Source organism: Homo sapiens, chromosome 17, assembly GCF_000001405.40.
Source record: "Homo sapiens chromosome 17, GRCh38.p14 Primary Assembly".
Taxonomy (NCBI): Eukaryota; Metazoa; Chordata; class Mammalia; order Primates; family Hominidae; genus Homo; species Homo sapiens.
The window spans coordinates 3335843-3352454 of record NC_000017.11 but is presented as its reverse complement, the minus strand read 5'-3'; the positions used below and the strand labels follow the sequence as shown (position 1 = coordinate 3352454).

Below are 16612 nucleotides of genomic sequence, written 5' to 3'. Positions count from 1 at the left end.
ACTAGACCCCTGTCTCTCATCATAAATAAAAATCAAATCAAAATGGATTAAAGACTTAAATCGAAGACCTCAAACTATGAAACTACTAAAACAAAACATTGGGGTAACTCTTCAGGACATTGGTCTGTGCAAAAATGTTTTAAGTAATATTCCACAAGCAGAGGCAACCAAAGCAAAAATGGACAAATGAGATCACATCAAGTTAAAAAGCTTCTACACAGCAGAGGAAGCAATCAACAAAGTGAAGAGACAGCCCACAGAATGGGAGAAAATATTTGCAAACTACCCATCTGGCAAAGGATTAATAACCAGAATATATGAGGAGCTCAGCAACTCTATAGGAAAAAAATCTAATCCTGATTAAAAAATGGGCAAAAGATTAGAATAGATATTTCTCACAAGAAGACATACAATCCATCTTGAATTGATTTTTGTATAAGGTGTAAGGAAGGGATCCAGTTTCAGCTTTCTACATATGGCTAGCCAGTTTTCCCAGCACCATTTATTAAGTAGGGAATCCTTTCCCCATTGCTTGGTTTTCTCAGGTTTGTCAAAGATCAGATAGTTGTAGATATGCGGTGTTATTTCTGAGGGCTCTGTTCTGTTCCATTGATCTATATCTCTGTTTTGGTACCAGTACCATGCTGTCTTGGTTACTGTAGCCTTGCAGTATAGTTGGAAGTCAGGTAGTGTGATGCCTCCAGCTTTGTTCTTTTGGCTTAGGATTGACTTGGTGATGCGGGCTCTTTTTTGGTTCCATATGAACTTTAAAGTAGTTTTTTCCAATTCTGTGAAGAAAGTCATTGGTAGCTTGATGGGGATGGCATTGAATCTATAAATTACCTTGGGCAGTATGGCCATTTTCACGATATTGATTCTTCCTACCCATGAGCATGGAATGTTCTTCCATTTGTTTGTATCCTCTTTTATTTCCTTGAGCAGTGGTTTGTAGTTCTCCTTGAAGAGGTCCTTCACATCCCTTGTAAGTTGGATTCCTAGGTATTTTATTCTCTTTGAAGCAATTGTGAATGGGAGTTCACTCATGATTTGGCTCTCTGTTTGTCTGTTGTTGGTGTATAAGAATGCTTGTGATTTTTGTACATTGATTTTGTATCCTGAGACTTTGCTGAAGTTGCTTATCAGCTTAAGGAGATTTTGGGCTGACACAATGGGGTTTTCTAGATATACAATGATGTTGTCTGCAAACAGGGACAATTTGACTTCCTCTTTTCCTAATTGAATACCCTTTATTTCCTTCTCCTGCCTAATTGCCCTGGCCAGAACTTCCAACACTGTTGAATAGGAGTGGTGAGAGAGGGCATCCCTGTCTTGTGCCAGTTTTCAAAGGGAATGCTTCCAGCTTTTGCCCATTCAGTATGATATTGGCTGTGGGTTTGTCATAGATAGCTCTTATTATTTTGAAATACGTCCCACCAATACCTAATTTATTGAGAGTTTTTAGCATGAAAGGTTGTTGAATTTTGTCAAAGGCCTTTTCTGCATCTATTGAGATAATCATGTGGTTTTTGTCTTTGGTTCTGTTTATATGCTGGATTACATTTATTGATTTGCATATATTGAACCAGCCTTGCATCCCAGGGATGAAGCCCACTTGATCATGGTGGATAAGCTTTTTGATGTGCTGCTGGATTCGGTTTGCCAGTATTTTATTGAGGATTTTTGCATCAATGTTCATCAAGGATATTGGTCTAAAATTCTCTCTTTTGGTTGTGTCTCTGCCCGGCTTTGGTATCAGGATGATGCTGGCCTCATAAAATGAGTTAGGGAGGATTCCCTCTTTTTCTATTGATTGGAATAGTTTCAGAAGGAATGGTACCTGTTCCTCCTTGTACCTCTGGTAGAATTCGGCTGTGAATCCATCTGGTCCTGGACTCTTTTTGGTTGGTAAGCTATTGATTATTGCCACAATTTCAGCTCCCGTTATTGGTCTATTCAGAGATTCAACTTCTTCCTGGTTTAGTCTTGGGAGAGTGTATGTGTCGAGGAATTTATCCATTTCTTCTAGATTTTCTAGTTTATTTGCGTAGAGGTGTTTGTAGTATTCTCTGATGGTAGTTTGTATTTCTGTGGGATTGGTGGTGATATCCCCTTTATCATTTTTTATTGCATCTATTTGATTCTTATCTCTTTTTTTCTTTATTAGTCTTGCTAGCAGGCTATCAATTTTGTTGATCCTTTCAAAAAACCTGCTCCTGGATTCGTTAATTTTTTGAAGGGTTTTTTGTGTCTCTATTTCCTTCAGTTCTGCTCTGATTTTAGTTATTTCTTGCCTTCTGCTAGCTTTTGAAAGTGTTTGCTCTTGCTTTTCTAGTTCTTTTAATTGTGATGTTAGGGTGTCAATTTTGGATCTTTCCTGCTTTCTCTTGTGGGCATTTAGTGCTATAAATTTCCCTCTACACACTGCTTTGAATGTGTCCCAGAGATTCTGGTATGTTGTGTCTTTGTTCTCGTTGGTTTCAAAGAACATCTTTATTTCTGCCTTCATTTCATTATGTACCCAGTAGTCATTCAGGAGCAGGTTGTTCAGTTTCCATATGGTTGAGTGGTTTTGAGTGAGATTCTTAATCATGAGTTCTAGTTTGATTGCACTGTGGTCTGAGAGATAGTTTGTTATAATTTCTGTTCTTTTACATTTGCTGAGGAGTGCTTTACTTCCAAGTATGTGGTCAATTTTGGAATAGGTGTGGTGTGGTGCTGAAAAAAATGTATATTCTGTTGATTTGGGGTGGAGAGTTCTGTAGATGTCTATTAGGTCTGCTTGGTGCAGAGCTGAGTTCAATTCCTGGGTATCCTTGTTGACTTTCTGTCTCGTTGATCTGTCTGATGTTGACAGTGGGGTGTTAAAGTCTCCTATTATTAATGTGTGGGAGTCTAAGTCTCTTTGTAGATCACTCAGGACTTGCTGTATGAATTTGGGTGCTCCTGTATTGGGTGCATATATATTTAGGATAGTTAGCTCTTCTTGTTGAATTGATCCCTTTACCATTATGTAATGGCCTTCTTTGTCTCTTTTGATCTTTGTTGGTTTAAAGTCTGTTTTATCAGAGACTAGGATTGCAACCCCTGCCTTTTTTTGTTTTCCATTTGCTTGGTACATCTTCCTCCATCCTTTTATTTTGAGTCTATGTGTGTCTCTGCCCGTGAGATGGGTTTCCTGAATACAGCACACCGATGGGTCTTGACTCTTTATCCAATTTGCCAGTCTGTGTCTTTTAATTGGAGCATTTAGTCCATTTACATTTAAAGTTAATATTGTTATGTGTGAATTTGATCTTGTCATTATGATGTTAGCTGGTGATTTTGCACGTTAGTTGATGCGGTTTCTTCCTAGTCTCAATGGTCTTTACATTTTGGCATGATTTTGCAGCAGCTGGTACCGGTTGTTCCTTTCCATGTTTAGCACTTCCTTCAGGAACTCTTTTAGTGCAGGCCTGGTGGCGACAAAATCTCTCAGCATTTGCTTGTCTGTAAAGTATTTTATTTCTCCTTCACTTATGAAGCTTAGTTTGGCTGGATATGAAATTCTGGGTTGAAAATTCTTTTCCTTAAGAATGTTGAATATTGGCCCCCACTCTCTTCTGGCTGGTAGAGTTTCTGCCGAGAGATCTGCTGTTAATCTGATGGGCTTCCCTTTGTGGGTAACCCGACCTTTCTCTCTGGCTGCCCTTAACATTTTTTTCCTTCATTTCAACTTTGGTGAATCTGACAATTATGTATTTTGGAGTTGCTCTTCTCGAGGAGTATCTTTGTGGTGTTGTCTGTATTTCCTGAATCTGAATGTTGGCCTGCCTTGCTAGATTGGGGAAGTTCTCCTGGATAATATCCTGCAGAGTGTTTTCCAACTTGGTTCCATTCTCCCCGTCACTTTCAGGTACATCAGTGAGATGTAGATTTTGTCTTTTCACATAGTCCCATATTTCTTGGAGGCTTTGCTCGTTTCTTTTTATTCTTTTTTCTCTAAACTTCCCTTCTCGCTTCATTTCATTCATTTCATCTTCCATCACTGATACCCTTTCTTCCAGTTGATCGCATCGGCTCCTGAGGCTTCGTTAGATCTAAAACCATGAAAACCCTAGAAGAAAACCTAGGCATTACCATTCAGGACATAGGCATGGGCAAGGACTTCATGTCTAAAACACCAAAAGCAATGGCAACAAAAGCCAAAATGGATAAATGGGATCTAATTAAACTAAAGAGCTTCTGCACAGCAAAAGAAACTACCATCAGAGTGAACAGGCAACCTACAAAATGGGAGAAAATTTTCACAACCTACTCATCTGACAACGGGCTAATATCCAGAATCTACAATGAACTCAAACAAATTTACAAGAAAAAAACAAACAACCCCATCAAAAAGTGGGCAAAGGACGTGAACAGACACTTCTCAAAAGAAGACATTTATGCAGCCAAAAAACACATGAAAAAATGCTCACCATCACTGGCCATCAGAGAAATGCAAATCAAAACCACAATGAGATACCATTTCACACCAGTTAGAATGGCAATCATTAAAAAGTCAGGAAGCAATAGGTGCTGGAGAGGATGTGGAGAAATAGGAACACTTTTACACTGTTGGTGGGACTGTAATCTAGTTCAACCATTGTGGAAGTCAGTGTGACGATTCCTCAGGGATCTAGAACTAGACATAGTATTTGACCCAGCCATCCCATTACTGGGTATATACCCAAAGGACTATAAATCATGCTTCTATAAAGACACATGCACACGTATGTTTATTGCGGCATTATTCACAATAGCAAGGACTTGGAACCAACCCAAATGTCCAACAATGATAGACTGGATTAAGAAAATGTGGCAGATATACACCATGGAATACTATGCAGCCTTAAAAAATGATGAGTTCATGTCCTTTGTAGGGACATGGATGAAATTGGAAACCATCATTCTCAGTAAACTATTGCAAGAACAAAAAACCAAACACCGCATGTTCTCACTCATAGGTGGGAATTGAACTATGAGAACACATGGACACAGGAAGGGGAACATCACACTCTGGGGACTGTTGTGGGGCCGGGGGAGAGGGGAGGGATAGCATTGGGAGATATACCTAATGCTAGAAGATGAGTTAGTGGGTGCAGCGCACCAGAATGGCACATGTATACATATGTAACTAACCTGCATATTGTGCACATGTACCCTAAAACTTAAAGTATAATAATGATAAAAAAAAAAAGAAGACATACAAATGGCAAACAGACATATGAAAAGGTACTCAACATCATTGAGTTGTGGAGAAAAGGGAACCCTTATACACCATTGGTAGAAATGTAAATTAGTACAGCCACTATGGAGAACAGCTTGGAGGTTCCTCAATAAAGTAGAAATAGAGCTATCCTATGATCCAGCAGTCTCGCTGCTACGTATATATCAAAATGAAAGAAAATCAATATATCAAAGAGAGATCTGCTCTCCCATGTTCGTTGCAGCACTGTGCACAATAGCCAAGCTTTGGGAGGCAACCTAAGTGTCCATCAACAGACAAATGGATAAAGAAAATGTGGTGCATATACACAATGGAGTACTATTCAGCCATAAAAAATGAGAGTCAGTCATTTGCAAAAACATGGATGGAACTGGAGGTCCTTATATTGAGTGAATAAGCCAGGCACAGGAAGTCAAACATCATGTGTTCTCACTTATTTGTGGGATCTAAAAATCAAAACAATTGACCTCATAACCATAGTGAGTAGAAGAGCAGAGGCTGGGAAGGACAGTTGGGGGCTGAGATGGAGAGGTGCGGATGGATAATGGGTACAAAAAAAAAAACCATGGAAAGAGTGAATAAGAACTAGTATTTGATAGCACAGCAGAGTAACTATAATTAATAATGGTTTGTACATTTTGAAATAACTGAAATAGTATAATTGCTATAATTGGATTGTTTGTGACACAAAGGACAAATGCTGGAGGGGATGGCAAGGCGGCTGATAGGCTGATAGGCAAGGTGGCTGCTACTGCTGTTCCCATTACAGGCTCTTGGAAAACAGGGAACATTCCCTCCAGTTGGCTCAGCATGAGGCCTAGGATTCACTCTGGTTGGATCAACTTGGGTCAGATGCCCTTCCCATTTTTCAGGATGTAATTTGCACACATTGCCTGCCTATATCAAAATATCTCATGTACTTATAAATATGTACACCTACCATGTACCCATAAAAATTAAAAAGAAAATATAGTATATATACCACACAGAATGCTATTCAGCCTTAAAAAGTAAGAAGTCCTGTCATTTGTGACAACATGGATGCACATGGAGGACATTATGTTAAGTGAAATGTCCTGTCCTGGCAATTTTTTTTATTAGCTCTGTGGTGCCTTCAAAAATATATTTTAAAATATTTTGTCTAGCTTTTATAATTGTCCCCAGAGGAAGGTTTAGTACAAAACACCTAGCCTGCTGTTAGAAGAAGCAGAAATCCTTTCATTCATCCTTTGCATGTGAAAACTGACACGCCCCTTCTCCCCCATCCCCACTTTGGAAGCTTGTAGACTCTTCTGTCAGATCTTAGTGATCTGAAATTTCACAGTGATTGTCTTGGGGTGAATTTAGTTTTAATCCATTTTGTTTTGAATGTGGGTACTTTATTCAATTTTTGGAAAAATTTTAAAAAATATTACTCTGGTGCTCCCTCATCCCCATTTTCTTTGTTCTTTTTCTAGAGAATTTTTATTCTTCAGATGTTAAAACTTTGGGGCCTTTTTAAAAATTCATTTATCTCCTATTATCCATCAATTTTTCTTTTCTCTCTACTTTCTGGGAGACTTTCTCAACTTAAACTACAAGACTTCTGTTGATTTTAATGAATTTCTGTGATCACGTTTTTCATTTTCAAGAACTGTTTTTGTGATATTGTTTCTTTTTATGGGCTCTTCTTATTTTATTTCACTTTCTAAGGCTGCTTATTATAATTTTGTTGTTCTTCTGCCCTCTGTGTTGTTTCGTTTCTTATTTTGGTCTCTCTCTCTGTCTCTATCTCTCTCTCTCTCTCTCTTTCCTTTTTTTCTCTTGTTTTTGGTCTTGTACTCTCTCTGATGATTTTGGCTGTCTTCATTATTTAAGAAAAAGGTCCTAAAAACATGATTGGAAGTTCTCTGAAAGGGTGAGGCTTGTGGACCAATAGATGTGTCCGGATTATTTACTTGGTTGACCTCTATTAGTAGATGAATGTCTTTTCTCTTGTATTTGTTCCTCTTAGCTCCCTGAGAGATAAATCCTCTAATAATTTGCCTGTACCGACATCTTTCCTCTGAATTTATTGTCCTACCTACATCAGCATCGTGGTACCTTCCTTCCTTTCTTCATCAGATCCACCTCTCCACCTGTCTTCTGGATCTTATCTTCCCCTGCTTGCCTTTTAAAAAACAATCATTTTATTCTTCTTGGTTTCCTCTATCTCTTTAGCCCACTTGAGGATGAGGCCAACACAGAGAAAAGCAGTTCTAAGAGATGGAGCAAAAGTGAGTCCTAGAGACTTTGTTTGATCCTCCAGACTTGATAGGCAAGGTAGCTGCTACTGCTCTTCCCATTACAGGCTTTTGGGAGACAGGGAACATTCCCTCCAGTTGGCTCAGCATGAGGCCTAGGATTCACTTTGGTTGGATCAACTTGGGTCAGATGCCCTTCCCTAAAGCTATAACTGGAGGATTTGGTATACTGCTTGACCAGATCTTGGTGTGCAGCCCCACCCAAAGCTCATAAACTGAAGGAGATTTGAAGGCATAGTTCCTCAAAGTGATATTGGAGTGTGGTTATGTAGGTGGTTTGAGGGATTTGGGGAATGGTCAAGGAAAAGGATATGACTATAAGTGGCAGTAGTGCCTACAAACTTTATTAAGGGAAGTGGTCAGGTTTGCAGGCAAAGAAATCCCTTTCCTGGAGGAGGGCAAGAGAACTCCCAGAAGAGAAGGGAATCGGAGAGGGACTTTTGTGTCTAGATGATATTGTCTAGCTGTATGGTGGGGAATCTCTGGGTCAGAGTCTCCAAGGTACAGTAGTGGCCTGGAGTCTTACAACCACAAGGCTATCTTGTTTGTGGTTGGCAGATGCAGGGTGAATATTTACAGGACACGCAAAGCAGGAAGGTCTAAATTGCTGAAAATCTTCTTCTTCAGGGTATTTTTATTTAAAAATAATTAGATGTGTAAAAATTTGAATTTGGTGGAAGCAGGCTTTTTAGCTCACAAGTCTCAGCCAGCAGTGAAGAAATAAACCACCTAAGAGTCAATACACAGACATCATCTTTGGCTCATTTTTGTAACATGCCACCTAAAGAAGGGGCAATGCCACAGAGCCGAATATCCCACTGCATATGCACTGATGTGGCACTACAGCACTCCTGTATATCACTGAGTGGAAAAATCAAAACAAGGTGAATGACACTAAGATGTATTGCAAGCCATGGATTAGAATGAGAAAAACTTCCTAGACAAAGTAGAATCACAGACCCCTCCTTCTGCTTCTTTGATGACATAGGTTGTCCATGGTGATGGGACAGCATTTCAAGTGTTGGTTGGCATGAATCTAGGTTACTTGAACAAATAATGAGGCAAAGGGGGTGGGGGAGATGGAGTTATCTTCTGCCAAAGCATGTGGGCTACGTCAGGGAGGGGTGGAGGCTGGATGAAAACTAGACTACTGTTAAAAATGGGAGTAGGTTGATATGACACTAAGCAAGCTTTCATTGAATGAACACTCCTGTTCAATACAGTGCTGACAACTCCTGGGTGTACTCCCTCCAAACTTGTTCTTTTCCCCACTTCCCACCCAGAACTACTGAATTACTGAATTTGTGGCTTAGTTTTCTTCATGAAATGCTTTTTAAAGGTGGAAAGAAGTCATGGTTTCTAGTTTCTTTCTGTTTTCTAAAATGGATGCATGGCAGTAAGTGAAAGCAAGACGCAGCACATTAAAATCTCAGCATTCTCCAAAATGAGATATTGGATGGGGCATACTGAGTTTATGTTGGCCAGTGAGTCAATTTCTTATTGTGTTTGCATTAGAATTTCATATAAGTAGGTTCATTTCAAGATGGCTGAATAGGAACAGCTCTGGTCTACAGCTTCCAGCATGATCGACACAGAAGATGGGTGATTTCTGCTTTTCCAACTGAGGTACCTGGTTCATCTCATTGGAACTGGTTGGACAGTGGGAGCAGCCCACAGAGGGTGAGCCGAAGCAGGGCAGGGCATCGCCTCACCTGGGAAGTGCAAGGGGTCAGGGGATTTCCCTTTCCTAGACAAGGGAAGCCATGACAGACTGTACCGGGAAAATCGGGACACTGCAACCTAGATACTGCACTTTTCCAGAGGTCTTAGCAAATGGCACACCAGGAGATTATATCCCGTGCCTGGCTCAGTGAGTCCCATGCCCACGGAGCCTTGCTCACTGCTAGCGCAGCAGTCCAAGATCGAACTGCAAGGCGGCAAGCCTGGCTGGAGGAGGGGCGTCCACCATTGCTGAGGCTAGAGTAGGTAAACACAGCGGCCAGGAAGCCAACGAGGCCCGCCTGCCTCTGTGCACTCCACCTCTGGGGGCAGGGCATAGCTGAACAAAAGGCAGCAGAAACTTCTGCAGACTTAAACGTCCCTGTCTGACAGCTCTGAAGAGAGCAGTGGTTCTCCCATCATGGTGTTTGAGCTCTGAGAATGGACAGACTGCCTCGTCAAGTGGGTCCCTGACCCCCAGGTAGCCTAACTTGGAGACACCTCCCAGTAGGGCTGACTGACACCTCATACAGCCAGGTGGCCCTCTGAGACGAAGCTTCCAGAGGAAGGATCGGGCAGCAATATTTGCTGTTCTGCAATATTTGCCCTTCTGCAGCCTCCACTGGTGACACCCAGGCAAACGGTCTGGAGTGGACTTCCGGCAAACTCTAACAGACCTGCAGCTGAGGGACCTGACAGAAGGAAAACTAACAACAGAAAGGAATAGCATCAACATCAACAAAAAGGACATCCACACCAAAACCCCATCTGTAGGTCACCATCATCAAAGACCAGAGGTAGATAAAACCACAAAGATGGGGAGAAACCAGAGGAGAAAAGCTGAAAATTCTAAAAACCAGAGCTCCTCTTCTCCTCCAAAGGATTGCAGCTCCTCGCCAGCAACAGAACAAAGCTGGACAGAGAATGACTTTGACGAGTTGACAGAAGTAGGCTTCAGAAAGTCGGTAATAACAAACTTCTCTGAGCTAAAGGAGGGTGTTTGAACCCATTGCAAGGAAGCTAAAAACCTTGAAAAAAGATTAGACAAATGGCTAACTAGAATAAACAGTGTAGAGAAGACTTTAAATGACCTGATGGAGCTGAAAACCGTGACACAAGAACTACGTGACGCATGCACAAGCTTCAGTAGCCGATTTGATCAAGTGGAAGAAAGAGTATTAGTGATTGAAGATCAAATTAATGAAATAAAGCAAGAAGAGAAGTTTAGAGAAAAAAGAGTAAAAAGAAACGAACAAAGCCTTCAAGAAATATGGGACTATGTGAAAAGACAAAATCTACATTTGATTGGTGTACCTGAAAGTGATGTGGAAAATGGAACGAAGCTGGAAAACACTCTTCAAGATATTATCCAGGAGAACTTCCCCAACCTAGCAAGGCAGTCCAAAATTCAAATTCAGGAAATACAGAGAACACCACAAAGATACTCCTCCAGAAGAGCAACTCCAAGACACATAATTGTCAGATTCACCAAGGTTGAAATGAAAGAAAAAATGTTAAGGGCAGCCAGAGAGAAAGGTCGGGTTACCCACAAAGGGAAGCCCATCAGACTAACAGTGGATCTCTCAGCAGAAACTCTACAAGCCAGAAGAGAGTGGGGGCCAATATTCAACATTCTTAAAGAAAAGAATTTTCAACCCAGAATTTCATATCTAGCCAAACTAAGCTTCATAAGTGAAGGAGAAATAAAATCCTTTACAGACAAGCAAATGCTGAGAGATTTTGTCACCACCAGGCCTGCCTAACAAGAGCTCCTGAAGGAAACACTAAACGTGGAAAGGAAAAACCGGTACTAGCCACTGCAGAAACATGCCAAATTGTAAAGACCATCAATGCTAGGAAGAAACTGCATCAATTAACGGGCAAAATCACCAGCTAACATCATAATGACAGAATCAAATTCACACATAACATTAACCTTAAATGTAAATGAGCTAAATGCCCCAATTAAAGGACACAGACTGGCAAATTGAATAAAGAGTCAAGACCCATCAGTGTGCTGTATTCAGGTGACCCATCTCATGGGCAGAGACACACATGGGCTCAAAATAAAGGGATGGAGGAAGATCTACCAAGCAAATGGAAAGCAAAAAACAAGCAGGGGTTGCAATTCTAGTCTCTGATAAGACAGACTTTAAACCAACAAAGATCAAAAGAGACAAAGAAGGCCATTACATAATGGTAAAGGGATCAATTCAACAAGAAGAGCTAACTATCCTAAATATATATGCACCCAATACAGGAGCACCCAGATTCATAAAGCAAGTCCTGAGAGATCTACAAAGAGACTTAGACTCCCACACTTTAATAATGGGAGACTTTAACACCCCACTGTCAACATTAGACAGATCAACAAGACAGAAGGTTAACAAGGATATCCAGGAATTGAACTCAGCTCTGCACCAAATGGACCTAATAGACATCTACAGAACTCTCCCACCCCAAGTCAACAGAATATACATTCTTCTCAGCACCACATTGCACTTATTCCAAAATTGACCACATAGTTGGAAGTAAAGCACTCCTCAGCAAATGTAAAAGGACAGAAATCACAACAAACTCTCTGACCACAGTGCAATCAAATTAGAATTCAAGATTAAGAAACTCACTCAAAACCACACAAGTACATGGAAACTGAACAACCTGCTCCTGAATGACTACTGGATAAATCATGAAATGAAGGCAGAAATAAAGATGTTCTTTGAAACCAATGAGAACAAAGACACAACGTACCAGAATCTCTGGGACACATTTAAAGCAGTGTGTAAAGGGAAATTTATAGCACTAAGTGCCCACAAGAGAAAGCAGGAAAGATCTAAAATTGACACCCTAACATCACAATGAAAAGAACTAGAGAAGCAAGAGCAAACACATTCAAAAGCTAGCAGAAGGCAAGAAATAACTAAAATCAGAGCAGAACTGAAGGAGATAGAGACACAAAAAACCCTTCAAAAAAATCAGTGAATCCAGGAGCTGTTTTTTTGAAAAGATCAATAAAATTGATAGACCGCTAGCAAGACTAATAAGAAGAGAGAAGAATCAAATAGATGTAATAAAAAATAATAAAGGGGATATCACCACTGATCTCACAGAAATACAAACCACCATCAGAGAATACTATAAACACCTCTACACAAATGAACTACAAAATCTAGAAGAAATGGATAAATTTCTGGACACATACACCTTCCCAAGACTAAACCAGGAAGAAGTTGAATCTCTGAATAGACCAATAACAGGCTCTGAAATTGAGGCAATAATTAATAGCCTACCAACCAAAAAAAGTCCAGGACCAGACAGATTCACAGCTGAATTCTACCCGAAGTACAAAGAGGAGCTGGTACCATTCCTTCTGAAACTATTCCAATCAATAGAAAAAGAGGGAATCCACCCTAACTCATTTTATGAGGCCAGCATCATCCTGATTCCAAAGCCTGGTAGAGACACAACAAAAAAAGAATTTTAGACCAATATCCCTGATGAACATTGATGCAAAAATCCTCAATAAAATACTGGCAAACTGAATCCAGCAGCACATCAAAAAGCTTATCCACCAAGATCAAGTTGGCTTCATCCCTGGGATGCAAGGCTGGTTCAACATATGCAAGTCAATAAATGTAATCCATCACATAAACAGAATCAAAGACAAAAACCACATGATTTTCTCAATAGATGCAGAAAAGGCCTTTGACAAAATTCAACATCCTTTCATGCTAAAAACTCAATAAGCTAGGTACTGATGGAACGTATCTCAAAATAATAAGAGATAAGAGCTATTTATGATAAACCCACAGCCAGTATCATTCTGAATGGGCAAAAACTGGAAGTATTCCCTTTGAAAACTGGCACAAGACATGGATGCCCTCTCTCACCACTCCTATTGAACATAGTGTTGAAAGTTCTTTGCTAGGGCAGTCAGGCAGGAGAAAGAAATAAAGTGTATTCAATTGGGAAAAGAGGAAGTAAAAGTCTTCCTGTTTGCAGAGGACATGATTATATATTTAGAAAACCCCTTCATCTCAGCCCAAAATCTCCTTAAGCTGATAAGCAACTTCAGCAAAGTCTCAGGATACAAAATCAATGTGCAAAAATCATAAGCATTCTTATACACCAATAACAGACAAACAGAGAGCCAAATCATAAGTGAACTCCAAATCACAACTGCTACAAAGAGGATCAAATACCTAGGAATCCAACTTACAAAGGTTGTGAAGGACCTCTTCAAGGAGAGCTACAAACCACTGCTCAACAAAATAAAAGAGGACAGAAGCAAATGGAAGAACATTCCATGCTCATGGATAGGAAGAATCAATATTGTGAAAATGGCCATACTGTCCAAGGTAATCTACAGATTCAATGCCCCTATCAGCTACCAATGACTTTCTTCACAGAATTGGAAAAAACTACTTTAAAGTTCATATGGAACCAAAAAAGAGCCTGCATTGCCAAGAGAATCCTAAGCAAAAGGAACAAACCTGGAAGCATCATGCTACCTGACTTCAAACTATACTACACGGCTGCAGTAACCAAAACAGCATGGTACTGGTACCAAAACAAAGATATGGACCAATGGAACACAACAGAGGCCCAGAAATAACACCACACGTCTACAACCATCTGATCTTTGATAAACCTGACAAAAACAGGAAATGGGGAAAGGATTCCCTATTTAATAAATGGTGCTGAGAAAACTGGCTAGCCATATGTAGAAAGCTGAAACTGGATCCCTTCCTTACACTTTATACAAAAATTAATTCAAGATGGATTAAAGACTTAAATATTAGGCCTAAAACCATAAAAACCCTAGAAGAAAACCTAGGCAATAGCATTCAAGATATAGGCATGGGCAAGGACTTCATGACTGAAACACCAAAAGCAATGGCAACAAAAGCCAAAATAGACAAATGGGATCTAATTAAACTGAAGAGCTTCTGCACAGCAAAAGAAACTACCATCAGAGTGAACAGGCAACCTACAGAATGGGAGAAAATTTTTGCAATCTACCCATCTGACAAAGGGCTAATGTCCAGAATCTACAAAGAACTTAAACAAAGTTACAAGAAAAAAATTAACCCCATCAAAAAGTGGGCAAAGCATATGAATGGACACTTTTCAAAAGAAGACATTTATGCAGCCAACAGCACGTGAAAAAATGTTCATCATCACTGGCCATCAGAGAAATGCAAATCAAAACCACAATGAGATACCATCTCACACCAGTTAGAATGGCGATCATTAAAAAGTTAGGAAACAACAGGCGCTGGAAAGGATGTGGAGAAATAGGAACACTTTTACACTGTTGGTGGGACTGTAAACTAGTTCAACCATTGTGGAAGACAGTATGGCGATTCCTCAAGGATCTAGAACTAGAAATACCATTTGACCCAGCCATCCCATTACTGGGTATATACCCCAAGGACTATAAATCATGCTGCTATAAAGACACATGCACACGTATGTTTATTGTGGCACTATTCACAATACCAAAGACTTGGAACCAACCCAAATGTCCATCAGTGATAGACTGGATTAAGAAAATGTGGCACATTTACACCATGGAATACTATGCAGCCATAAAAAATGATGAGTTCATGTCCTTTGTAAGGACATGGATGAAGCTGGAAACCGTCATTCTCAGTAAACTATCGCAAGGACAGAAAACCAAGCACTACATGTTCTCACTCATATGTGAGAAATGAACAATGAGAACACTTGGACACAGGGCGGGGAACATCACACACCGGGGCCTCTCGTGGGGTTGGGGGATGGGGGAGGGATGACATTAGGAGATATACCTAATGTAAATGATGAGTTAATGGGTGCAGCAAACCAACATGGCACATGTATACATATATAACAAACCTGCACGTTGTGCACATGTACCCTAGAACTTAAAGTACAATAATAATTTTAAAAAGTGCACATGAAGAAGTTCTGGAGAACGATAGTAGTGAGGTTGCACAAAAAAGTGAATATACTTAATCCTACTGAACTGTACCCTTAAAATGGTTAAATGATACATTTTATGTTATGCATATTTTACTAAAATAAAAAATGAAGGTTAAATAAAAAGAATTTCATATAAGGAAGTGTGGGCCTTGCTTCCTGGGACCTGAATGTCCATTTTGGGTTTGGAAGCAGAAAGAGGTATGAAATTAGACACAGATATCGGAACCCATGTGCATAGCTCACCTAGGGTGAATCTTTTGTTTTCTGTGTAATTATCTTCCATAAGATGGAGAACACAGTCAAAGGGGTGGAAGAACTGGTCTTTCTGAAGAGGAGCTAAATTGGGGTTAGGTAGGAGTGAGGAGGGATGCAGCGTTTGTTTACTCAGAAAACATTAATTGATGGTGATCATGTGTGCTGGGTTCTGAGGAAGTTTTTTTAAAAAATGATACCCAATTTCTTGATTTTGTGGAGAAGTCTGTCTAGTCTAGAGGGGAAAGAGTTAAGAGGACATCTCAGGTATGAGCGCAGCTAAAGTATGGTGTCTGGCAACCCAGACAGTGTAAGATTTGGATACATCTTCAAATTGATATTCTTTATACATTTATTCAAATATTTATTGTAGAGCATGAAGTAGATTTTCAATTAATAATTGCACATCTCTCTTGGTTGGCTACCATTAATGGATTTAGTAGTTACACTGAACATAACATCTAAGTTTATTTGAAATTCTTTTATTTAATGTTTTTTCCACTATTTGTATCTATCATTAGTTACACTTCTTACACATAAAGTTTATATAAATATAGTTCTAAAATTTTGTCAAAATATGTATGAAAATTATTGTTTTCCTGGCATTCACATCAGCAAAACACTTTCCATTTATCCTGTCTTCAGTTTTCTTTTGTGATTTTTTAAACCAGATAACTTTTCAAGGTACAGATTAAAATGTTTAAAATTTAGACAATAGGGAAAAAATGAATTATCATCACTGAAAAGCACTGTACTGTGAGTTGTTCAGTTTTAGAATTTTAGCCTACATCACCTGTTGTATTTGGATGACTAGTGAATGCTTGGCTGATGGCAGGGCTGATGACCTGTCATTATTTCCACAGACATGCCACAAAATGTTGAATGAAGATAGGCAGCGTTGGCAAGGAGAGTTTCTGAAACTTCCACTGGAGGGCTCTGCGTGTTCCGGCAGGAATGGTTTGTAAGTTTGCATTTGCCAGTTATGAAAGGAGTTGCGTGAGTAAATCAGAGTGGAAATGTTGCAGTGACATTTTAGCACTTGTTATGTGTTGGCACCTTGTCAGTTGTTTGGCTGATCTGACCCTGAATCCAAATTAGGAGGTGGTAGGAGGTATGCATGGGCACTAAGTAAGAAAAATTGGATTGA

General features: G+C 39.8%; 1 protein-coding gene across 2 annotated transcripts in view; it reads left to right on the top strand.

Moving 5' to 3' along the window:
• Positions 1–16612, top strand: part of OR3A2 (olfactory receptor family 3 subfamily A member 2) — a 110196-nt gene that overhangs the window by 33854 nt on the left and 59730 nt on the right. For both annotated transcript variants that reach the window (XM_047436157.1, NM_002551.5), the window contains exon 2: positions 16329–16426. The gene's annotated coding sequence lies outside the window, so the exon portion shown is untranslated. The remainder of the gene's footprint in view (positions 1–16328; positions 16427–16612) is intronic.